Source organism: Homo sapiens, chromosome 11 (assembly GCF_000001405.40).
Source record: "Homo sapiens chromosome 11, GRCh38.p14 Primary Assembly".
Lineage (NCBI taxonomy): Eukaryota > Metazoa > Chordata > Mammalia > Primates > Hominidae > Homo > Homo sapiens.
The window spans coordinates 120,908,658-120,933,272 of record NC_000011.10 but is presented as its reverse complement, the minus strand read 5'-3'; the positions used below and the strand labels follow the sequence as shown (position 1 = coordinate 120,933,272).

At 48.8% G+C, this 24,615-nt stretch overlaps 1 protein-coding gene across 16 annotated transcripts in view, besides 2 other annotated features; it reads right to left on the bottom strand.

The window, feature by feature from the left end:
* The window catches only part of GRIK4 (glutamate ionotropic receptor kainate type subunit 4), a 477,159-nt gene that overhangs the window by 55,634 nt on the left and 396,910 nt on the right, over positions 1–24,615 (bottom strand). The gene's annotated exons all lie outside the window — the stretch shown is intronic.
* Positions 3,396–3,445: a silencer, noted in NCBI's record as "silent region_3996". NCBI's record gives its function as "represses an Ori minimal core promoter by ATAC-STARR-seq in GM12878 lymphoblastoid cells {active_cell/tissue: GM12878}" and the evidence as "EXISTENCE:reporter gene assay evidence [ECO:0000049][PMID:35858748]".
* Positions 7,044–7,143: a silencer, noted in NCBI's record as "silent region_3995". NCBI's record gives its function as "represses an Ori minimal core promoter by ATAC-STARR-seq in GM12878 lymphoblastoid cells {active_cell/tissue: GM12878}" and the evidence as "EXISTENCE:reporter gene assay evidence [ECO:0000049][PMID:35858748]".

Sequence of the window (24,615 nt, the reverse complement as noted above, 5' to 3'; positions counted from 1 at the left end):
GCAGGCAGACCTGTTCTGTGTATGTGCAGCCCTAACTGGTCACCGCGTCCCCCACTCTGGCCCCTGCGGCCTTTCCCGGGTGACCTGGAGCACATGCACAGCTGTGTTGACACAATGTGCTTCTCTGGTGTGACCGTCTGTCTATGTGGACCTATGTGGGGTCCAGGCCTCCCAGACCTCATGCTGTCCAGTCCTTTGGAAAACTCTGGGAAAAATCCAGTACCTAGCTTGGAAAGCCAGTCATTCTCCCCAGTCCCTTCCTCCAAACATGATTCTCCTTTGGGGAGAATGAATTAAATGGCCTCTCCAGCTCCCTCTGAATCCTCTTTCAGATCCTCTCTTCTATCTCTGATCAGCTTCCAGATCTTTCTTCTCTGACCTTTTTACAGTACACCTCCTCACCCCAGCTTTCTGCCCTTGAGGAGGCCAGCTGCCCCTGCCCCCTCTACATGCCAGCAGCTTTCTACAACTTTACAAGTCAGGCTTCACATCTCCTGTTTCACCTGCTGCTGGGGCTGCAGAGTGCCTCCCATTCTTCAATGTCATTTAACTCTGTAATTGTGTTACTTAACTCCGGAAAGCTTTGGGAGGCTACAGTTGGGATGAGAAAACGCTACCCAGAATAAGCACTCCTGGAAACCTTCATTCCAAGGTAATTGTCTCTGGAGATCCCCTGTATATTGAAAAGGCTTATGGAATTCCAAGCAAGGCCAGGCCTGAGGCTGTGAAAATGAGGCTGGCATTATCTGTAAACACACAGATAGGAAGCAGCTCTGTGCCTAGCAAGCCTGGCTTTCCTGGGAGGGATAATGCACATTTGGCTCTGGATGAGGATATGGGCCGAGAGTAACATGGGGCTGCTGAGCTCACTGGGGGATTCAGGGTGGGCGGGGACTGCCTGCAGAGCCCAATGCCCCCTCCCCGCCTGTTTCCTCCTCTCTAATGCTCAGTGTACCCTTGCAGCTCTCCACTGACTCTCTGCCCTGCACCAGGCAGTGTGCAAGGTGCTGGAATACTATGGTGAACAAATACAGGCACAGTCTCTGACAGCAAAAAATTTACAACCAATAGAGGAGGCGAACAAGTATCAGATTGCCAAAAAAAAAAAAAAAAAATTGTAAAATTGCACGTGTGCTGTGTTTATAGGGGGGTTATATATGTCACCATGAGAAGGTGGAACAGGGCTTGGGCAGAGCCTGGAAGGTCCACAGGAGTTTTCCCCAGATGAGACTCAGCTGCCTGAACAGGAGGGACCAGTGAGAAGGCCTGGGTGAGTATTCCCACAGAAGGTACAACATGTGTCAAGGCCCCGATGCAGGAGGGAGCTTGGTGCTTTTCAGGGGCTGTGGGAAGGCCAGAGTGGCTAGAACACACAGGGCCAGGAGCATGCTGTAAGATGAGGCTGGAGAGGCAGGCAGGTAGCAGAGGATGCAATGAACCAGACAGCAATCAGAAGGTCCTGAAGTATTTTCTACAGTGAATGTCCTACAGTATTGGACTTGTAATATCAATACAGCTAACACATATCTCTTCCTATGTATCAGGCACTGAACTAAGCCCTTTACATGTTACCTCACTCAGTATCCACAAAACCTCTATGAGATAGGTTACTATTATTATCCTTATTTAACAGATGAGAAAACTGAGGCACAGAGAGGTCAAGTAACTTGCCCAAGGTTGCACAGCAAGTAAGTGGCAGAGCCAGGATTCAAACCCACGTAATTTGGCTTCAGAGTCTGCATGCTGAATATGCAGCACATTCAATCGGCTCTAGTGAAGAAAAAGATTGAAGGGAGGCAAGAAAGGGCCCTCTGCATTTTTCTCCTCACTCCCTTGCCATGTATATCACCACACTCCAGGCACTCTGGTCTCCACCCCATCACTCCACCAATATCACTCCAGCCAAGGTCAGCATGACCTCCATGGTACAATAACCAAGGGGTGCCTAAGTCCTTGTGTTGCCAAACCTCCTAGCCTGCCATTCTCTCCAGTCCCTGCAGGGGCCCTCCTAATAAGGCCAAGGTCAAAGACATAACTGCTTCCCTCCACCTGCTCTGACCTGTGACTACATTGCCTGGGTCACTGGCACCAAGCCAAACTGGGTTCAAGTCCTCGCCCTGCCAGTTACTAACAGTGTGACCTTAGATAGCTGTGATATCCTCTCCCAGCTCGTTTTTCTTATCTGTAAAGTGGGGATAATAATTGCCAATTCAGAGATGTTATGAGGACAAAGGAAATAATACATATAATGCACAAAACACATTACCTGGAATAAAGCGGGTGCTCAATATTTCTAGCAAAACTCACTTACGCACCACAGCAACTATACCTGTCCTCCCTAAGAAATTATTCACGACTCCCACTCCTCTGCAGTCCAGCATGTGGGAGTCTGGCCCTCATGGTCTGCCTACTCCTGCAAGTTCAGCCCCATCTCCATCACTCCTCTCCCAGACACTGCCCCTCCCCTGCAGCCAGGCCAACTCAGCTGGCTCTCAACACACCTTGTACTTTTCTGCAGTTAAATTTACTCCACATCAAAAGTCCAAACATCAACTCCACCTACTCTTCAAGGTCTATTCAAAGTTTACCATCCTCATAAAACCTTCTCTGATCATCTTCTCAGGCATAAGCCCTCCCTTGTCTGTCGCCAAAGAGAGAAGGCAATGCTCATGCCACCCACCATGGCATATACTATAAATTTCCTTGTATTAGTACAGGATGCCTGGACTCACACTCCAACTCTGCCACCTATGAGCTGCGTGACCTTAACTTCTCTGTGCCTCAGTTTTTTCATCAGTAAAGTAGGGATAATGATAGTTCCCACCTCCATGGAGCTTCTATGGGAATTAAATGAGCAACCCACACAAAGCTTAGGCCTGACACAGATAACTCACAATAAATGTTAGCTCTTACTATTACTGCTGTTTACATTTGTGTGCATATCTTATCTCTACATTAGATAAACTTCTTGAAGCAGGGATCAAATCTTTGAAAAAATTTAACATAAACAACATTTCAAAACTGCCATTAGCCCTGTTTTGGAGACAAAGACGCTGAGACCCAGAGAGGTTCATCATTTGCTCAAATACACGCAGCTAGGACATGAAGAAAGCTAGCTTCAGACCCCCATGTACACATTCTCAGGACTGTGCGCTTGGCTTTCTTATTACTGCACTGTTCGCAGTGACTTTCCCCAAGAGGGCACACAGTCAGTCCCTAGTGAAGAGCCAGTGCAGCCAACAGCGTGGGTAAGGAGGGGACCCCCCCCCCAAACGTGGCCTGCCCTCGAGCCCCTTCTTGCTGGCAGCTGAAGCAGGCTGATTTCTGACAGATGCCTGTATGCAGGAGGGATTTTTGTCAGGAGGCTGGAACATTAGAACCAGATTCAGGTCATGCTGTGGATGCGATCAGACATCCTCCAACCTAAGGACTTGAAGCCGTAGGTTCCCCACTAGAGGGCGCCCTTCTCCCCTTGCCCTGCCCCAGACCCGGTTCCCTCTAACACCTTGGACGGTGTCATGTGGGACGCCCAACCAGAAGAGGAAGGGCCCCATGCTCCAATCTGGCTTAAAGCAGCTATCAGCGGAGGGGTGTTAATTACAGCCCGGGAAGGAATGGAGATGACAGGCCCAGGCTGAGCCAGAGGCCAGAAGACTGGCTCCACGGAGCTGCTTCCCAATTCTCCCCAGGCCCCAGTCCTTTTGTGCTGTGCATTTGAGCAGAATAACATCTGTATCTCAGCCCATTTCAAATTAGATTATCTGCTCACTTCCTGTCTTTTGATCAGTTTACCTGCGGGCGGCTTTCTCCCTCCCACCCGCACCTATTGAGATGCCCAGGGAACTTGCCAGGACTCACTGGGGTCACCGAGCTGCAGGGCAATGGGATCAGAAGGAGCCAGGGAGGCTCACTCCCACTCCTGGCCCACACGAGCATCCGCAGGGCTCATCCCTTAGACTTCAGCGTCACATGCCTGAGAACACACACATCTGCTCTCCTGCCACATGAGTCAGGCTGTCTGCCCACGCCACCCGCCGCGGGCTGGAGACAAAGAGAAACTCTTAGGGGTCACATGGCACCTGCAAAATATTTGGTGTCCTTGTCCACTGGGGAGACTGGATGCCAACCCCACCACCTCTCCCTTCTTTCAGAACCAGGATATAGGAACAAAGATCAGGGAATAAAGGAACAGTAAATAGCACCCAATTGTTCACCTGTGCCAACACACAGACACACACACACACACACATGTGCGCACACACACATACACGCGTGCACGCGCGCACACACACACACACACACACACACACACGTCTTTGCTAACCAGTGCGAGCCCATGTTTGTAGAAATCATCCCTGCTCACTGGGCCAGGCCTATCCACAGCAATGATTGAAGAGGCAGAGGCCCAGTGGAGCATTAGCATTCCTGGGAAAGTGGCAATGTCATCCGCAGGTCCAAGTGCTCCCTGGTGCTATTTCTCGAGGTTACAGCTTACTCTCGGGGCTGGATGAATTTCTTTAGAGTTAAATTAAAGTCCCCATGAAATATTTAGTTGGCTCGGCACAGGGCTGTGTTATTGGCCTATAGAGGGCAGATTTTAGGAACGAACCAGCGCTAAGGAAAGAAGGGGCTGGCAGTTCATTTGCAGGTGAAATTATGCGGCACAGAGGTCCAAGCTGACTCAAGAGGCCAAGCAGATACTATTTACCCTTGACCCTCTTGTTACAGGCTTCTATTCACTGGCCCACGAATCCTCAATCCTCTTGCTTTTTGGGGTCAGGCAGATGCATGTTTGAATCCCGACTCTGCCATTCACCAGCTGAGCAATTACCAGAAATCTGAGCTTCAGTTTCCTCATCTCTAAAATAGGCAAAATAATGTATACTTCTTAAGATTGTGGTGAGGGTTAAATTCAACTCCCTGTGTAAACAGAGCTCATGTGAGGTCCTGCTTCTTACAATCCCCTCTTCCCGTTGCAGCCAGAGGGGTCTTTGGGAAAGCTAAAGCAGACGATGCCATTTTTCTCCGTGTCGCCTTCTAGCTTTTTTTTTTTTTTTTTAAGACGGAGTCTTGCTCTGTCTCCCAGGCTGGAGTGCAGTGGTGCGATCTCGGCTCACTGCAGCTCCACCTCCCAGGTTCCAGCCATTCTCCTGCCTCAGCCTCCCGAGTAGCTGGGATTACAGTTGTGCACCACCATGCCCGGCTAATTTTTGTATGTTTAGTAGAAACACGGTTTCACCACGTTGGCCAGGCTGGTCTCTCACACTCCTGATCTCAGGTGATCCGCCTGCCTCGGCCTCCCAAAGTGCTAGGATTACAGGCATGAGCCACCATGCCTGGCCTGCCTTCTTAATATTTTTTTATGCCATGGACCTCTTTAACAGTCTGCTGATACCTGTTAACCTCTTATTTTAAAATATTTTAAAATGACTACATAGAAATTCAGTTATCAAAATATGTGTACACTTTTTGTGCTATAGTGGTATCTGTGCCTCTTTACATAACAAGAGCTGGAAGTGTGTCTAACAGCAACACTAAATTAATACCATTGGTGACAAAGTCACAGGTGTGGTTAATACCATGAAGCTTTGTTGACCACATTCATAATTGAAGGAAATATTACATTTCTGTTTGAACTTAGAAAAATATATAGATGTTAATTTTTCCTTTCTTTCTTTCTTTCTTTTTTTTTTTTTTTTTTTTTTTTGAGACAGAGTCTCACTTTGTCACCTAGGCTGGAGGGCAGTGATGTGATGTGGTTCACTGCAACCTCCGCCTCTCAGGTTCAAGCAGTTCTCCTGCCTCAGCCTCCTGAGTACCTGGGACTACAGGCACGCACCACCACACCCAGCTAATTTCTGTATTTTTAGTAGAGATGGGGTTTTGCCATGTTGGCGAGGCTGGTCTCGAACTTCTGACCTCAAGTGATCAGCCTGCCTTGGCCTCCCAAAGTGCTGGGATTACAGGTGTAAGCCACTGTGCCCGGCCAATTCTTCCTTTCTAGTTTTGTGGACTCTCAATGCTATCCTCAGACCATGGGTGTATGTGGACCTAGGAAAAGAACCGAGAGACTTCCAAGTTCATAAAGACCCAACTCCTTACCGTGGCCCACCAGGCGTTGGTGATACGGCAGCCCATTCACCACAGTCTAGCTAGTCATGCTAACCCCCATCCTGATTTCTGAACATGACAAGTTCACTTTCCACCTTGGGGTCTTGGAGTTTACTCTTTCCCCTCCACATATGCTCTGCCCTGGCCATGGCCCAGCTGGCTTCTCACCGTTCTGACCTCAGCTCAAGCACCATGCCATCAATGCAGCCTTCCCTACTTGCCCACTTAATGGGCCCCTCTCCTCGAGACACTCTGGCTCATTATACTGCTTTATTTTCTTCACAGCGGAAATCATGACCTGAAATTGTCTTGTTTATTTACCAGTTTACCTGTTGATTGTCTAGAGTGCCATCTTCAGGAAGGAGTGACCTTTGTCTGCCTTAGTCATCATACATCTCCAGTGTCCAGAACCTGCCATGTGCCAGGCACTACATAAATATTTGTTGAATGAAGTCATGATTGAATGAATGAATAGACAAATCCAAGAAAGAGGAGCTCAGTTAACATTATTCTCTATCCTTGGCTCTCAACTGAGGGAACGATTTTGTAGTAGAATGTTTTGACCAAGGGTACACCCTCTAGGGCCAGCTCAGCCACTTACTAACTGCATAATCTTAGGCCAGTTACTTAACCTCTTTGTACCTCAGTTTCCTCATCTGGAAAATGGGGTTAGTAATATTACATACTTTGTAGGTATGTTGGGGAGGTTAAATTAATGAATACACAAAAAGCACTTAGAACAGTGCCTGAAACATAGGGAATGTTCCAGAAGTGTCAGCCTTTATTATTTTGTTGCAACTTAAAGGATTCACTTCAATTTTATTTATTTTTTAAAATTATTGTTTCAGAAAATTCAATGTAGGTATTGAAGGGAGTGAAAAGAAATCCCATGATTAAAAAACTAATATGCATTATAGATGTCAGTGTTTATATAGTTGAGGTGTGAAAGAGAAAGGGAACTGAGAGCTTAGGTCCAGGCAGGTTATGGTATGTGGCAAAGCCCAGAGAGGCCTAAGTTTCACTTCCTCACATCACTACTACCACCACCATCACACCTGACTTTCTGAAGATTGACCAACAATTTACATGTCGAATCAAGAAAAGAAATTGAATCCTATCTGAGTTTTCAGGAAGATATGCTCATTTCTTTTCTTTCTTTTTCTTTTTTTTCTTTCTTTTTTTTTTTTTGAGATGGAGTCTCGCTCTGATGCCCAGGCTGGAGCACAGTGGTGCGATCTTGGCTCACTGAAACCTCCACCTCCTGGGGTCAAGCAAATCCCCTGCCTCAGCCTCCTGAGTAGCTGGGATTACAGGCGCACACCACCACACCTGGCTAATTTTTTTTGTATTTTTAGTAGAGATGGGGTTTCACCATGTTGGCCAGACTGGTCGTGAACTCCCGACCTCAGGTGATCACCCGCCTCAGTCTCCCAAAGTACTGGGATTACAGGCGTGAGCCACTGCGCCTGGCCGATATGCTCATTTCTAACCCAAATGCACCCTTTATTGATAAAAATCTCTGGCCCACAATACAGTCACCAATAGGCCATGGGACAAGGGGCACTGAATTTTCACCAGTGAGTCCACCCTCTTCTGCCTGTCTCCCATCCCTGCTGGCTGCCAAAACAGCTGGTTAAGCTCTGGGTCGCTGACAACGGGCAAAGCTAACTGGTCCACATGGGGATCCAACCTGCAGACCTGAACTAATGAGCAAGGGCTTGTGCTGGCCTAGCCAGCCCTACACTTATTTCGAGGCTATGGGTTCCAGGCGTGATCGGGGGCCTGTGTAAAGCTGGCCTGGGCAAGCCCAGGCGACAGGTTTCTGCTGTTGTAGGAGCCCGACAGTGCCACCAGCTCACGGCGCTGTCTTCCTTTCATTTTCCCTCCCACTTGTCAGCCCTGTAATTAGGAATGGTGAGATTCACGGGCCTGTTATTAGGACTGTTTTTGTTGGGTAAAATAAAGTACCACCAACTTCTGTGGGCATCGCCCACAGCCATAGAGAACTTCTAGAGGCCTTCCCTGTGCTCCTTCTCTGTTCCCACTTTTTCACCCCATCCCCTACAGCTCCTGCTAGACAGAATGGAGGCCCCAGCTCTGCCTCAGAGACCAGCCCTGAACTGCCCCACCTCCCCAGGGAGTGAGCAGTGATGTGACCAATTGGATCCACAAAGTGGACAGCATCTGGCCCCTTCTCATTTCCTATCAGTATGTGCACACGTTGAAACCACTGCAAAGGGCAGCAGGGCATTTTCTCAGGAATCCCTGCCATTTTTTGAGGAAGAGAGCTGAAGACATTGTTCTGAACCTCTGGCCACTCTTCCTGGGTGATAAAGGTGTATTTGGTCTTTTTCTGAGAGGTGTCCCACTTGTTGACATGGCTCATATGCCCATCAATAGTCATACCCCAAAACTGTTTTTTCACAGATCGTTCTTGAGACCCACAGCAACGTCTAAGGTTGGCAGTAACCTATTTAGAGATGAGGAGAATGAGACTCAAGAAGTCATGTGGTGTTAAATTTGGAATAATGGTTACCTTTGGGCAGACGAAAGGTGTAGAGAGTGAAACAGGAAAGAGGTGGGTGGGGACAAGGGGGTCTTCAGGATGCCGCTAAGGGTATATTTCTTGATCCGGACAGTGATTGATCACACAGGGATGTCCTCTTTGTGATCATTCATTAAGCTGTCACTTACGATTTGTGCACTTTTCTATATGTCTATTTCAATATATATTTTTTTAAGTTAAGTGATTTTCCCAAGTAGGAGAATGGCCACTGTTGAGCCTGCCACTAAACGCTCTGCTGACTCTGTGGTGAGGAGCCTGGAAGGGGAGCCAGGGCTGCTGCCACGGTACCGACTGCTACAGCGGTGACCTCACACACGCAAGGGAGCCACACTCAGGCCTGGCCAACCTCCTGTGCACCTCTCTTTACACATCTGGGTGGCTTCTAATTCAAGAAGGGGTAAAATGCACATCTGGATGTTTTCATGGATTTTCATTCTCATTTGGATGAAGAAGAGTCTAGATTCCTCGTCTGGCACAAACAGCTTAACAGATTGTGAAATTCCCAGAGGAGCCAACTCTGCCTGCTGCGAACACCAGGCAAAGCCCAGGGGGAAGACTTGCCTCCCTGCTGGGAGCTGTAATCGCCCCCCAGGACTTGCCAGCCATCACCCTAGAGGTCCTAAAGCCCAGGGGAGAGGGACCAGTCTGTCCTAGATTCAACAGTGATGCCCTGACAGTGTGCTGGGTGGATGAACTACCCACCAGAATCTGACACTAGGCCAGAGAGCCATCAGAGGGTCCTGGGTTTAAGTCTGCCTCTGGCTAGCTGTGTGATCCTGGGCAAGTTACTTAGCCTCTCTGAACTTGCTTTCTCATGAGTAAAGTATGAATGGTACCAGTTTCCGCTTCACGGGTTTATTCTGAGGATTAAATGAGCGAATGGGGCCGGGCGCAGTGGCTCATGCCTGTGATCCCAGCACTTTGGGAGGCCGAGCCGGGCGGATCACGAGGTCAGGAGATCGAGACCATCCTGGCTAACAGGGTGAAACCCCGTCTCTACTACAAATACAAAAAAATTAGCCAGGGGTGGTGGTGGGTGCCTGTAGTCCCAGCTACTCAGGAGGCTGAGGCAGGAGAATGGTGTGAACCCGGGAGGCGGAGCTTGCAGTGAGCCGAGATCGCGCCACTGCACTCCAGCCTGGGCGACTGAGTGAGACTCCGTCTCCAAAAAAAAAAAAAAAAAAAAAAAAATGAGCAAATGGATCGGGCCTAGCATGGGGCAAGTGCTCAGTAAGTGTTCGTTGCTATTCTTCTATTAAGCTGTTCCTGATTCTGGCATCTTGTCTCCATCCTTTGTGCACGAGCCCCAGAGATCCAGCCTCTGCTTTGGGCCGCAACATCCCACCTGGTAAGTTTTTCTAAGGCTGAGCCCTCCTATCTGATTTGCTCCTAGTAACTCCCCTTTCCTGTTGGCCAGACTAACCCCAGCTTGCACACTTGCTGGACTTACCGGCCACACCTAGCATCTGTTTTGATCTCCCACCTGTGTCCCACTGTTTGCCACCCTCTGACAGCCAGCCAGGCCTCTGTCCCACTGTTCTGTCGCCACCTAGGACACGGCAGGTCCGTGCAGGGTGTCTCCTGGATCTGGATAGGGATCTGTCTGGCAAGAGTCAACAATGCCTTTCAGTGCAGTCCAAATGCATCGACCATACTACATGCTGCTATTTCTAAGGATCTGGGCCTTTGCATTGTTGCCTCAAGAGCAAATGCAGACACAGCTAGGGCCAGAGCTTGGCATCAAGCGAGGCAGCCTATCTGAAGGCTGCATAAGATAAGGAATAATTCCATAGGTTCTGGAAAGGGGTGTAATACAACAGGACTCTCAGATGGCTGCCTCTGTAGCTGCCGACACCGCCATCGGCACAACTAAGCCAGGCCTGGCTCTCACGCTGACAAATGGGAGGATGTCAGTTGTTCCTGACAAGCTATAGGATGGCAAGAAAAATCATCTGTAAATAAGCTCCCAGAGCATATAATGACTCTGGCCAGGAACTGTGAGTTGGCGAGGCCAAGCCAGGCAGTACGCACATCGAACACACCACAAGACCTTCTGGTGAGGGATGGCCAGAGGGCAGAGGGAAGATAGAAGGAGGTGCCACATTTGGAATTCTTTGAAGCAGGACTATCTATTCACAGGAAGGCAAGGGATGAGCAGGGCCTAGCTGTGGGGTAGGGCAGGGAGCAAAAGCAGCAGGATGGGGTGACTGAGGTACCACCCTATAAGCGAGAGGTGGCAACTGCTGGGGGCAGCTCTGCACAGCAGTCAGGAGAACACACTGACCCATCTGAATTTGAATCCTAATTCTACCACTTCCCAGCCACGTGATCTTGAACAAGTTAGTTGACCTCAGAGCCTCAGTTTTCTGATCTATAAAATGGGGGCAATATACTTTTGCCCTTGTAATGTTGTCCTAAGATTAAATAGGAGAACATTTGTAAAGCAAGTATTGTTCCTGGCACACAGTAATGAGGCTAGTACTATCTGTGGAGCAGGCACAGAAGGTGACATAGGGAGCCACGGGAGTTGAGCACAGTGTTGGGAGTCTGGGTGAGGTGGCTCCGAAGTCCAGATGGGTGGGGTGGGCACTTGCTCTGTGACCTCCAGCCTGCTGCCACCACACCTCACCAACACACATACTTCAGGAAAGAAAGCCTGCAAGCTTGATAGAGCAGATTTATCCTAAAGACAGTTGGACCATAGATGTGTGGGTGTTAGGGGCTGCACCGATACCCAGTTAGGTTTAAAGCTTAAAGAATGAAGCAAGGAGTCGCTGCAACTTGGAGAACAAAATTGGAGACTGGAGGGTCAATCCTAGAGTCAGACAACTCCCCCTGGACCTCCCCACCCCATGGAGAGAGGAGGGAGGGCAAGGGATGCTTAAATTCTTCTTTCTCAAGATAATACTGCCCTGGGAAGTGAGATGGGGCCGCGCATGCAGTGGTGTGAGCTGGAGGCCCAGCTGTGGGAGCCAGGAGGGTGGAGGCAGGAGCGGGAGGCAGGGATCACAGGAAGTGCGCGCAAGCGGGAGGGCAGCCACCTCCTGCAGCCCCAACCTGCTAAACGCACCGGTACACCTGGACTGCTGCTGTGCTTTCCCTGTTAGCAAAAGGATCTTCCGAAAACCTACAACTGGTCCCCAGCATTGGGCTCTTTGTTCCAGGCTCCAAGTGCTTTGGCATCAACGCTGGGATGGTTAATTCTCTTCCACATGCCTTTACAGCATCCATCCAACCACCCATCCCCTGGTGGCTGAGTGAGTGCTATATGCCAGAGCCTGTTCTGAATGCTGCCAATAGACGGATAAAGAAGACAGCTATAGTTCCTGACCTCAGGAAACTTACATTCTAGTGAGCGGAGACAGTCAATAAACACATAGTCCCATAATAAGCAAGGTGGTTTTAGACAGTAATAATTTCTTTGAAGATCATAAAACAGGGTAATGTGGTAGAAGGTGACTAAATGAGAGGATGGGGGTCCTTCAGGGTGGCAGAGAAAGAACACGTCTCAGAAAAGGGGACGCCAGGCTTAGACAGAGATAATGAAATGGAAATAGACTGGAGATTTGGGAGACAGGTTTTTGAAAGAAGAAGGCGCAAATGTGAAGGCCACATGCTGGAACTGACCATGCTGTGTCCAAGGAACCAAGAGGAGGCCAGTGAGTGTGGGGCACTTGAGGGGAGATGCAGAGATGTAGACTCTGGATTAGTTCTTCCAGATGGAAGGGATACTGGTGAAATTGTGGCTGGTGCCAGGCAGGGCATAGAGGAAATGTTTATGCTCATTGAAGATGTGAGCAAATGGTAGCCCATGAAGATTCAGATACTAATTTATGGTTCTGGGACAGACCCTGGCTTCCAACTCAAAATTATATTTCTCTAAGCCCAAGAGGACTAGTGGGTGCTCCACCACTGCCATTGCCTGGATACCTAATAAGAGGGGGCTCAGACACCCCCACCTCCTGGGGGGAATATGTGAGGGCAAGAAGAGAGTAGGTTGGAACAGCGCATATAACCTTGGAAGGCTGCTGGGCCTCTCCCCAGTAGGATCAAGACTGGACACATGTGCACTCTGTGTTGATGAATGACGCTGCTGTGGTCTGCATGGCAAGAGGAATGAACCCAGGCCGGCCTGGGAGAGGGAAGACTGGGGCCTGGATGAGCATGTCCCAGGGGAGCAGGCAGACATGCACGTAGATGGGCATGTGTTTGGGGACCGAGGTGGGTGAGGCTGAGGAGCTGAGCTCCAGGCCAGAAGAGGAGGTGAAAATACAGCCCTACGTGGGGAGGGAAGGAGAGGAGAGAGCGAACACTCACAGAGCGTCCACAAAGTGCAGGCACGCTACAGGAATTATATTCCATTTATTTCTCATAGTAATCCAGGGGTGGGTACTATTATTTTCATTTTGAGGGTGAAGACACCAGGGTTGAGAAACGTTGGGAGACTTGTCCAAGTCCACACAGCTCATAGCTGGCAGAGCAGCGATTTGTACCTAGGTGTCCAGTCGGGATGGAAGGCAGTGTGAGGACAGGGGTGGGCACATTCCTCCCATTTTACTACCACCTGTATGCTGACAACTTCCAAATGGGGTTCAGGCCCAGTGCTGCCTCTTGCCAGCCTTCCTCACTCCCCCTACCTACTGACTTCCTATACCCATGTCTAATTCCTTATCTCTGCCGTCTAAAGCTACTCTTTCCCTGTGTGCCATTAATGACTTCCCCATCCGTCATCCCAGAGACCATGAATCAGCCTGGAGTCTTCCCTCTCCCTCCCTTCCCTGTTGTCTCCCCATTCAATAACCAGGCCCCATCCCTTTTACCTCTGAAACGCCTGTTGAATCCATCACCACCACTTGACTCTCACTGCCCCTACCATCATTAAAGCCTTCCTTTGAATTATTCAGTAGCTTCTGCACTGGTCTCTTTGCTTCCAGTTCTTTCCCACGCCATCCATCCACTCAGCTGAGACTCAAGCAGCATTGGGAATCAGTGGTTCTCAAACCTAAGCTCGAATCAGCACCACCTGGAGGGCCTGTTAAGTTGCAAATTGTTGAGTCCCACCCCAGAGTTTCAGGTTAAGTAGGTCTAGATGGGGCCCCAGAATTGGGATTCTGACAAGTCCCAGGTGTTGCTGATGCTACTCGTTCAAGGACAATACTTTGAGAACCGCTGCTCTAAAGTTTACACCAAAGATCTAATATTACTCATCTTCTTTAAAAACTCCAGTTACTCTCCACTCTCTTTAAAATGGAGTCCCAGCTCCTTCCCATGGTCTAAGTGATTGTCACCACCCAGCTGAGGCTTGCCTCTTCAGCATCACCTTAAGCTGCTGACCTCTCTTCAGCCTGCGATGTGGACACAATGCACTCTTCATGTTCCTTAAACTTGGCATACATTTCAGACCTCACACCGTTCCCTCTGCCGGCAACTCTCTCCTCCTTGTCGCCTGTCAAATTCCTACTTGTCTATCAAGGTCTGACTTGACGGCACTTCCCTGAGAGGCATTGCAGTGGTTAGAATGACCGTGGGCTTTGATGTCAGACAGGTTTGGCTTTGAATTCCAGATCAATCACTTGTTAGCTGTGTGACCCTGATTTGGCCTTCTCTGTTAAGCCAAAGTCAACCTTGGCATCTTGGTTATGAAATATGAATAATAATATTTATCACGTAAGATTGTTATGTGGAGAGGAAATGATGCATGATAAATGCCTGGCAGGTAGTAGGTATTCAATAAACACTGGCGACAATTCTCATTAGCTCTGCTCTGAAGCCTTGCCTGGCTTCCTCCGGCTGAAATGCTTCCCTCCTTCTCTGTGCTCCCATACCATTTTGCGTAGGATTCCCTTTTGTATATATCACATGCTAACGTCTCAAACTAACTTATACACCGGGTCTCATTCCCAGTACAGTTGGGGACGTTGTATGAATTATAAAGATTGGCCCTCTGAGCAGACTTAGTGGGCACATGCCTTGGCAAGCTAAAGGCATTTTTGTAGGAAAAAAATCGACAAGTAGATACCCCCCCATCCCAGAGCACGTGTTTGGTGAGCAGAGTGAGGGCTGGGTTTCACACCCCATTCCTCCTTCACCATGTCTTAACCTGCACAAACCATACATGGAGGTCCTATGTATACAGGATGTGAACTCTATGAAAGTAAAAACTGTGTGAACTCTATGAAAGTAAAAGCTGAAGGCACAACCAATATGGAATCAATGCATCTAGAGGCAGGCACCACTGGCTGAGGATGGTAAGTACATCAGAATGGGTCAATAGGGTTGTCACCCCGGGTTCAGGAATAGGATTCTTACTCCTGAGGGGAAGGGGAGTGAGAGAACCAGTTTGGCAAGCTCAGAGACTTAGGCTTGGGGAATCATCAGAAGCTGGATTTCTCAGTCTGGGTGGGAAGGAGAGCAAGGCAGAGGAGGCTTGGTCCCTGCGTGCTGAACTGGAGCTCCTGAAAGCCTCCCTGGTCTCAGACCAGAGTCTGGTGTCTGGCCAAGCCCACAGGTAACATCCTCATCTCTGCTGTGTGGCTGGGGAATCGAGACTAGAGAATTCTTAGAAGACATTAAGATCACATTGTCTGTAGCTTCCTTTCCTGTCTCTGACCCAAATCAATTCCCTACCACCTGTCTCTTCTGCTTAGCAGCAAGCTGATCTCTTAGAAGGCTTTCAGATGCCTTAATTAATACATTTTCATTTCCTTTGCAGACCCTTCACTCCCCTTAACAGCTGGCGCTCAGTGGGGAAGGTGGAAATAATTCCCAAGAACTGATAAGTTTCCCAGGCTGCTTTGAGATGCCCAATGGGGTTTGAAGGAGCTCCCAGTAGGAAGCTGCTAAGGGAGCACTGAACCTAACTGAACTCCAAACCCTTCCAGATCCCCCCGGGCAACTCCTTCCATGGAAAATAACCAGCACAGGGATCTGAGGATGGGCGGGGAAAATTCTGAAGTCTGTTTCAAATCTGTGGCTGACTGTCTCTGGGCCTGGAGACTGCTCTCCCAGAGACAGGGATTTAAGCAGCGCACCTGCACGGGTGACGCTCCGATGTCATTCCTTAGTCCTGCCCTGCTCGGGGCTCCCAGCCATGTACTCACACCTACACTTTATTATCTTACATGCCTGTGCCCCCCTTGCCTTTTACCGCCCGGTCTGTAAGCTTTCAGAGACAGAACCAAACCTGATCTGTTCCTTTACCCCACACCCCAGCACAGTGACTGGCACATAGGTGTTAAATCACTGTCTGCTGATTGATTCATAAATGGAAAGCCTGGCTTTCTTTTCTTTTCTTTCTTTTTTCTTTCTTTCTTTCTTTCTTTCTTTTTTTTTTTTTTTTTTTTTTTTTGAGACGGAGTTTCGCTCTTGTTACCCAGGCTGGAGTGCAATGGCATGATCTCAGCTCACGGCAACCTCCGCCTCCCGGGTTCAAGCAATTCTCCTGCCTCAGCCTCCTGAGTAGCTGGGATTAGAGGCATGCGCCACCATGCCCAGCTAATTTTTGTATTTTTTATCAGAGACGAGGTTTCTCCATGTTGGCCAGTCTGGTCTCGAACTCCTGACCTCAGGTGATCCGCTCGCCTCGGCCTCCCAAAGTGCTGGGATTACAGGCGTGAGCCACCACACCTGGCCGGAAAGCCTGGCTTTCTAAGCCTTGGGTTGATGCAAACCTGCTGAAGGAAGCACTCCCTAGGGGAATGCAAGCGCCCCTTATCTGAAATGCTTGAGACCAGAAGTGTTTCGAATTTCCGACTTTTTCAGATTTTGGAATATTTTCATAAACATAATGAGGTATCTTGGGAATGAGACTCAAGTCTAAACACGAAGTTCATTTCTGTTTCATAGACACCTTAGACACGTAGCCTGAAGGTAATTTCATACAATATTTTAAATAATTTTGTTCATGAAACAAAGTTTTGACTGTTTTTGACTACGACCCTTCATGAGGATAGGTGTGGAATTTTCCACTTGCGGTATCACATCGAAGCTCAACAAGTTTCAGACATTGGAGCATTTCAGATTTTGGATTTTCAGACTAGAGATTCCTAGTATTACCTATGTTACCACTTCACCGTGTTTCAGGCACTGTGTTAGGTGCATAAGGATGTCAAGATGCATAAGACATTGTACTTTCCTTCAAAGAGTTGCCAGTCTTACTTCCACTAGGAATCCATCCTGGTTGTCCCGATTCAGAAGTCATTTCTGCCCCTACCTTCCTAGTCATTTACGATGTACTTTGCTATGTCTAATACAGCACTTATCCTGTATGACCTCATTAAAATAACTTCTGCTCGCATCTGTCTGCCTTTTTAGCTGAAAGGCTCCTAGAGGAAAAGGACCTGACTTCAACTCCTAGCACTCCTGGGCGTTAGCTTCTTGGGGCTCTGTTTTCTTAGTCTGAAAAACGAGGTGGTCATAAGAAGTCCAGTTTCCAGATAAGAGGGTTGAGGACAGAAGTGTCAGCCAAATGTCCCTGTCAAACTGGCCACTCAGAGCCACCTCCTTGTTTACCATTCTCCTGGGCCAACTTATTCCTTCCTCCTCATTCTTCTAGGAGGCTGATGCAGAGAACAAGACGATGCCACCCAAGTCATCCTTTGTTCCAGACACCAGTTCTCACATGCCCCTTTGGTGCAGTGAGAAGAGCCCAAGATTGGGGTCTGAGTCTGGGCTCTGGCCACTTGCTGTGTGTCTGAGCTTGGATTAATTATGGAACTCTCCAAGCCTCTGTGCCCTCATCTGTGGAACAGAGTAATAATTCCTGTCTCATGGGTCATGTAAGGATCAAATTAACTCATGAGTGTAGAGCTTCTACATGGTGTCTGGCCTTGTCAGGAGTTATAGCACCCTGCTTCTACTCCCTTCCCTCCTGGTGGCTCGGCTTTGAACTAGGAAGACATGTGAGCAAGGGTCTGGAGCACATGAGATCCCCATTCAGACCCCCTATAAGCCAAGGGAAGCCAGAGGACAGGGCAAATCAGAAAGCCACAGCAGAGCCCTCCACCGAGCGCAGGTAGGGCATTGGCTGGGCTCGCACGGTTGGCAGCTGCGGCTCCAGAGGCCCAGCGGCAATCTTCTGGGGTGTGCGCACCTCACTCCTGAATGGAGGAGAGGGAGGCCATCAGAGGGAGAGAGGGAGATGAGATGGGAGAGCCCAGCCGCAGCCTGGCAGCCGATACAGACATCTCAGAAGAAAAAAAGGGCGGCTGCAGTCACGAAACTGCCATTATTGCCCTTTTCTCAGGTGAGTGAAAGGACTCCTACTGACAGAAAAGAACCTTTTGGGAACTCACAATGAAGCAGAGTGTTGTGGAGAGAGTGCATGAACATGTTTGTGGCTAAGGTGCAGTCCAGCGCGCTGGCCCCTTTATTTTCAAGTACACCTGTCTGTGAATAATGAGCTGGAGAAGATGGATTTCCTCCCTTCCCAGGTCTCAGTGGGTTGCATGCAGGGATCGCTATGTGGCATGCATCTCTCAAGGAGCCATTGTAGAAAGGACCTTCCCAGGGTCAAACAGCCAATCCCTTCTCCCCTGAGAAGCAGGACGACCTTAACCCATGCTTGAAGGTCTACAGGAAAGGGGAGCTCCCTGCACTCACTGGGTCCCAGACTCAAATGCTGAAGTCCCCACACAGCCATAATCCTCTCTTGGGCATCCTCACAGTCACTGCTTAATTCAGACCCCATTCCATTCTCCTGATCACTGGACAGCTGTCTAATGAGTAAACCTGCATCTGGTCTTCCCACCTCCAATCCGTCCCCCTCTCATCTGCTAGAGTAACCTTCTGGAACCAAAGGCAATTATGCCACTCCCCTCTTTGAATAAAACAAACAAACCACCTGCTCTTAGACAGCTCCCACTAGCGCTCTGGACATAGTTTATAAAGATCCAAACACATAAACCCTATCACGACTGGCCCCTGCCTACAGCCCTGTTCTCCTCCACCCCCTCTCATGCTTGGCTCCAGTTGTCCAGAACCAACGGCACTGCAGTGTACATTTCTCACCGTCCACCTCACCTAGAATATAATATCCTTTTCTGCCAAGGCGATCCTTCTTGATCCTCAGTGCTCTGCTCACTCGTCATTTCCTTGGTGAGCTCTTCCCTACTCCTGTACCACACCTCGCTCAACTTCTGTCAAAGCCACCCCTGCCACTCACTACTCATGGGACTTTGAGCAGGTTCCTTAACTGTTTTGCCACCTCACCTGCCACATTCAGTTATTGTGAGGCTTGAGTTAATACAGTCAAGTGCTCAGAACAGTGCCTGGCCCATAGGAAGCACTTCATACCTGTCAGCTGCTGTTATTACCATCATTATAACTATTATTAATATAGCATGTGTCACACTGTACAGTAATTCTTGGTTTACCTGTCCGTCTCTTTGAGTAGATCCTGAACTCCTTACAGGCAATTCCTCATATCCAAGCGGTGCTTGTCAGACAGCACGCACTTTGATGAATGAATGAATGGTTGAATTATAACAGAAGCTCATCTCTTTCAGATTTGCATAAATGCAGAAACTAAGCCTTAATGGGGAAGGTAAAGCAAAGCCCTCGCTGAGCTCGGCTGTCACACGGGGAAGGAGTGGAACACTCCACTTTGGCCCCTGGATCAGTATCTTTATTTTAAAGAATGCTGAATAGAATTCTGTGACCTATTTGTAGTTAAAATAGTCTCTGGCTTCAAGGTGAAAAGTAATCTCAGGGGACCACTTGTATTTTTTTTTTTTTTTTTTAGTTCAGCAAAATGTCTCCGGACAACCTTCCCAGTGAATTGAGGCCACGAACAGCCTGACCCACCAGGCCTCTGGGAAGCTCCCTCCACAATCCTTTCTCCTGGGCACCCAGGAGAAAAAATGGAATGAGGCGTTTCAGCTTCATTTACACTTAATTCATCAAAATGTCATTGGTAAGAGCTATTTGATGTCCAAGGCTTATGAGCCTTGAATCTAAGCCTTCCAAAGCCCTTTTCTCTTTGAACTTAAATGTGCCATTCCGCCAACATGGAGTTGAATGCCAACGGGGTACTTTGTTCTGAACTGTGAACCTAGAGGGGGACTCTGTCTCTTCCCAAATGTGCTTTACTCTCTCCCAAGCAGGGCCCTGAGGATGGAAAATGCAGCTGTTGTACCTTCCAGGGTACTACAGCTCAGTACTTGACCAAGAATGCCTCCCTACCAAGCAGAAGGGGCCTTGGAAGTCATCTGTCTGGTTCTGTCACTTTACAGATGGAGTGCAATCTCTTTATGGGCCAGAGTTGAACTTGGGTATCAAATTCTGGGCACCCTCCACATCCTCTGTCTGGAAGGACATCTCAGAAGTGAATGCCAATTGTGGCTGCAGGGAGATGAGGCTGTAATTTCTGCAGGGAAAGACCGTGTGCTGCCATGGACTTGGTCTCAGGTGCCTAAGTTTCACCAGACCTCTGCCACTAACTGGCAGTGGTTCATTTTGTTCTTTGAAACCTCAGTTTGCTTAGCTCTAAAATGGGGATAATAATACCTACTTCACAGTGCTGCTGTAAAGGATGAAAGAGCTAATGCTTGTGAAAGCAGTTTATAGACATTCAGTCACTGCCCAAATGTCAAGAGGTTAAGACAATGCCCAGACAGATACTTGCCTGACTGTGCTGGTTCCCAGATACCAGCTGTGGGAAGAAGTACTAGCATCTCGACAAAAACTCCAAAACCCTTTTCTGAATGCTCCATCATCTCCAGCCTCCATCCCGCCTACCTTTTACTGACACTGCCAATTCCAATATTGCTCCAGCCACATGAACGTCCCTGCATTTCCCCAATCCATAAGAAAAGCATTCTCAATTCTGAGCAGCTGCTTACATAAGCGATTTCATCTTGACTTACAGTCAATCTCCACAGCTCCCTCTAGCTACAACCCTTTACCTTGCTTTCCCTTACAAGCTACATGACTTTAATGAGTATTCCCTGGCTGCTGTCTCCATCTCCTCTGCTCACTCTTCTTGTTCACAATTCAATCACTGCCATTGGACCTCAATCCAGCCACCCCCTGAAACTGCATTTGCCGGTGACCCCCGTATTGCTCAGCCTGGGAAATGTTCTTCTGTACTTCCTTTCAAGCGGCAGAAAACCTCTTTACCCATTCTCTTTCAGCAGCCTTCACGGGCTCCCGTCTTCCTCCCTCTTGAACATGTGCTCTTTTCCCTGAAAGATTCCTTCCCTACTCATATCTTCAGTTGCACCCACCCATCCATTCACCCTACAGTCTACGCCTTCAGCCTGCTGAAGCCCACTCTAGCCAACTCTCTGCTGAACGTCTCTAAGTAGATATCCAAAAGGCACCTCAAACTTACCATTTCCAAAGCTAAATGCATCCTCTCTCTCCTCCCAGACCTGTTTTTCTACCTCATTGCTGGGCACCACCAACCACCCGTATGTCCAAGTCAGAAACTGGTGAGTCATCCTACATTCTCCCTCTCTCTCACATTCCACATCCACTGGGTCCCCTGGTCCTGATGATTTCTCTATTAAATAGTTTTTAATGGGTTACACAACACTGCATATAGTATAATCCCATTTTTACAAAAAGAACTTGTGTAAAACATATACGCATTTAAAAATTAGAAGGCATGATACAGAAGTGTTAGCCATGGGTATTACCAGGTGGTGGAATTACAAATAATTTTTAGTTTTTTAAAACCTTATCTATTTTTCAAAAAGCATGTCTACCTCCGTATAAGAGAAAAACCTTTTCTTTTCTTTTTTTTTTTTTTTGAGATGGAGTCTTACTCTGTCACTCAGGCTGGAATGCAATGGCACACGATCTCGGCTCACTGCAACCTCCACCTCCCAGGTTCAAGTGATTCTCCTGCTTCAGCCTCCTGAGTAGCTGGGATTACAGGCATGCACCACCACGCCTGGCTAATTTTTGTATTTTTAGTAGAGACGGGGTTTCACCATGTTGGCCAGGCTGGTCTTGAACTCCTGACCTCAGGTGATCCACCCGCCTCGGCCTCCCAAAGTGCTGGGATTACAGGCGTGAGCCACCGTACCCAGCCTATTATCTTTAAAGAGAATTTTGGGCCGGGCGCGGTGGCTCAAGCCTGTAATCCCAGCACTTTGGGAGGCCGAGACGGGCGGATCACGAGGTCAGGAGATCGAGACCATCCTGGCTAACACGGTGAAACCCCGTCTCTACTAAAAATACAAAAATTAGCCGGGCATGGTGGCGCGCGCCTGTAGTCCCAGCTACACGGGAGGCTGAGGCAGGAGAATGGCGTGAACCCGGGAGGCGGAGCTTGCAGTGAGTCGAGATCGCGCCACTGCACTCCAGCCTGGGTGACAGAGTGAAACTCCGTCTCAAAAAAAAAAAAAAAAGAGAATTTTGGAATCTGTACCTTCTTCTAACTCCCAAGCTACTTTTGGTTCTCACCATCTCTTGCAACAGTGAAAGCCTTCTTCCCGGCTCCCCTGCCTCCAGTGTTGCCCTCCTGCCCGCTTGTTTCATGCTGCAGCTCAAACAGGCCCTTCATCAATGACAGCTGCCCACGGGGCCACACTCCCTCACCACCATGTTCTGTTCCAGGGAGACCCACCTATGTGTGGTTGCTGAAATGGAATCTACCCCTGCACCTTCATGGCCCCATGACTTGGCTCTCGTACTCTCTCCTCACTGGCATGTTCTTCTCTCTCCGTGTCTCTTCTTTGATGGCCAATGTCTCTTCATCCTTAAAGATTCAGGCCTAGCATCACCTCCCACAGGGTCCTTCCCCATGTGTCACAGGCAGAGTTCAGAGCCCTTCTCCAGTATTCTGTCTGCACTTCCCCATCATAGTCCTTCTCACCCTGCTCTCACCCGAATGGGGCCCCTATCAAAGAGTGGCCTCCTTGAGTCTAGAGACATCTTTGTACCTGAATGCCTTGAACAGTTTCACCAAAACTGTTTATACATCCATGTAAATGTACTGGCATGAGACAGAGGGCCCCTGGGATTAGTCCTGGGGCATCTGCTTCTTCAAGCTACTCCAGTCTGTCTCCTCTCTGCCAAGCACACCTCCAGTGAGATACAACATCACTGCCACTCAGTCCTTCTGCGGGCTTAGCTGCAAAGGAGCTGACCAGGCAAAACAAATTCAAACCTGAGAGCCTCTCGAACAACCATCCTTCTCATCTCCACTGCCCAGACACAGCCCCAGGGTGAGAGGCCACCCAACTGGCCCAGTTTGTGTGAATCCACTTGCCTTCACTCCAACCACACTTCCCCTTTTAATGGGATTACAGGAAAAGACATGCTCTGATGATTTTCACACATATGCAGAAAATATGCTTGAATTCTCCTCCACAATGAATACACGGCCGTGTGTCTAAGCCCATGGTCTCTGTATGCTTTCCGCTGTTGTAACAGGATACTACAGACTAAGCAATTTATAAACAATACAAATTTATTTGGCTCACAGTTCTGAAGGCTGGGAAGAAAGTTCAAGAGCATGGCATTGTCACCCGGTAAGGGTCAGCCATGGCAGAAGTGAGTGCACAAGATAGAGAGAGGCACCAGAGGCCTGACTCACTTTATAACAACCTGCTCTTCCAGTAACTAACCTTCCTCGATGATGACATGAATCCATTCCTAAGGGCAGAGTGCTCATGACCCATTCATCTCTTACTGGGCCCCACCTCCCAACACTGTTGCATTGCAGATTAAGCTTCCAACATGTGAACTTTGGAGGGACACATTCAAACCACAGCACCCACTGTTTTGGGTAAGCAGGTGATAACAAATGTGAAAAGACTGAGGCTCTACAATTTCCACTGGAGATAACCCTGGGCCTCTACACTTTAATTCATATCACTCAGACATACAGGCAGTCACCATATTCCCCAAACTCTCCAAAGAAAGAGATTCCTTGGTCAACCCCAAGCCCCTTGTTGGGGAGGTTCTCCTTTATATCAACCTTCATTGCTTCTGCTGCAGTTTCAATTACATGTACCTTGCTTGTTGTCCAGGGGAAACTGTTGGGCAGCCCTGTCCATACATACCCTGGCACCTCATCCTTGTACACATTCTCTTTCTTCCCCAAGTTCCACATGTGCTGCATAAGTGAGAGCCCCTGGAGAGCTGCCATGCCTGCAAGATGGCCAATGTCTGGGCAGGATCCCTGGACCCCCAAGAAGAAATCCTAGGCTTACCCAATGTGTTACAATGGTTTTCACTCTCAGCTGTTGACAATTGGCCTAATTTTATTCTTTGTACTAGCAAACATATACTTCTTGAACAAGAAAAGGGGCATTGAGAGACAGCCTGGTGTCCCTAAGATAATCACTCCTGGGGCCAAAGCTCATCCTTATGTTTGCTTGGGCATGCCCATGAGGATTTCCCCACATTGTTACCAATAACCCTCCAGGAAGATGACCCAGCACCAACTGCATTCTACTGACCCACAAAGGGAAGTTCCAGTCTTCACTGGAGAGAGGCTCAGCAGGTTCTGCCACTGCCTTGGTGGTGCTCTGCCTGCTGGCCTGGCCCGGCCCATGGTGTCTGCTCTGGCTGACCTTTGTATTGCCTCACCTCACTCCTTGCACCCTGTCCTCGAGCCTCCAGCCCTGAGGCGTCTTTGGGCTGCTGTGATGCAAGAACACTGGTGCATCCAGCTGCAGGCAAGGCTGCGGGCAAGGAGAGGGTCACAGCTCTCACCCACTTGCTAGATCAGCCCACATTTTATGCTTTGCACCTCGAGTGCTGTTACCAGTGTCTTGGGAACCAACTTCTTTGAAGGTGGCCAAAGGGTCTGGGCGCACAGCCTAGAAGTGTTGGGGAGGTGACTTCCTGTGGTATGAACTTCAGTCAGTGAGAGATGGGACTCACAGATACAAGTTTCCCCCTCCTTGCGGTGGACTGTTTAGTGAGGCAATCATTTCATAGGGCCTCTGCAGGCTGAACAGTCATCTGTGCTTAATACAAAG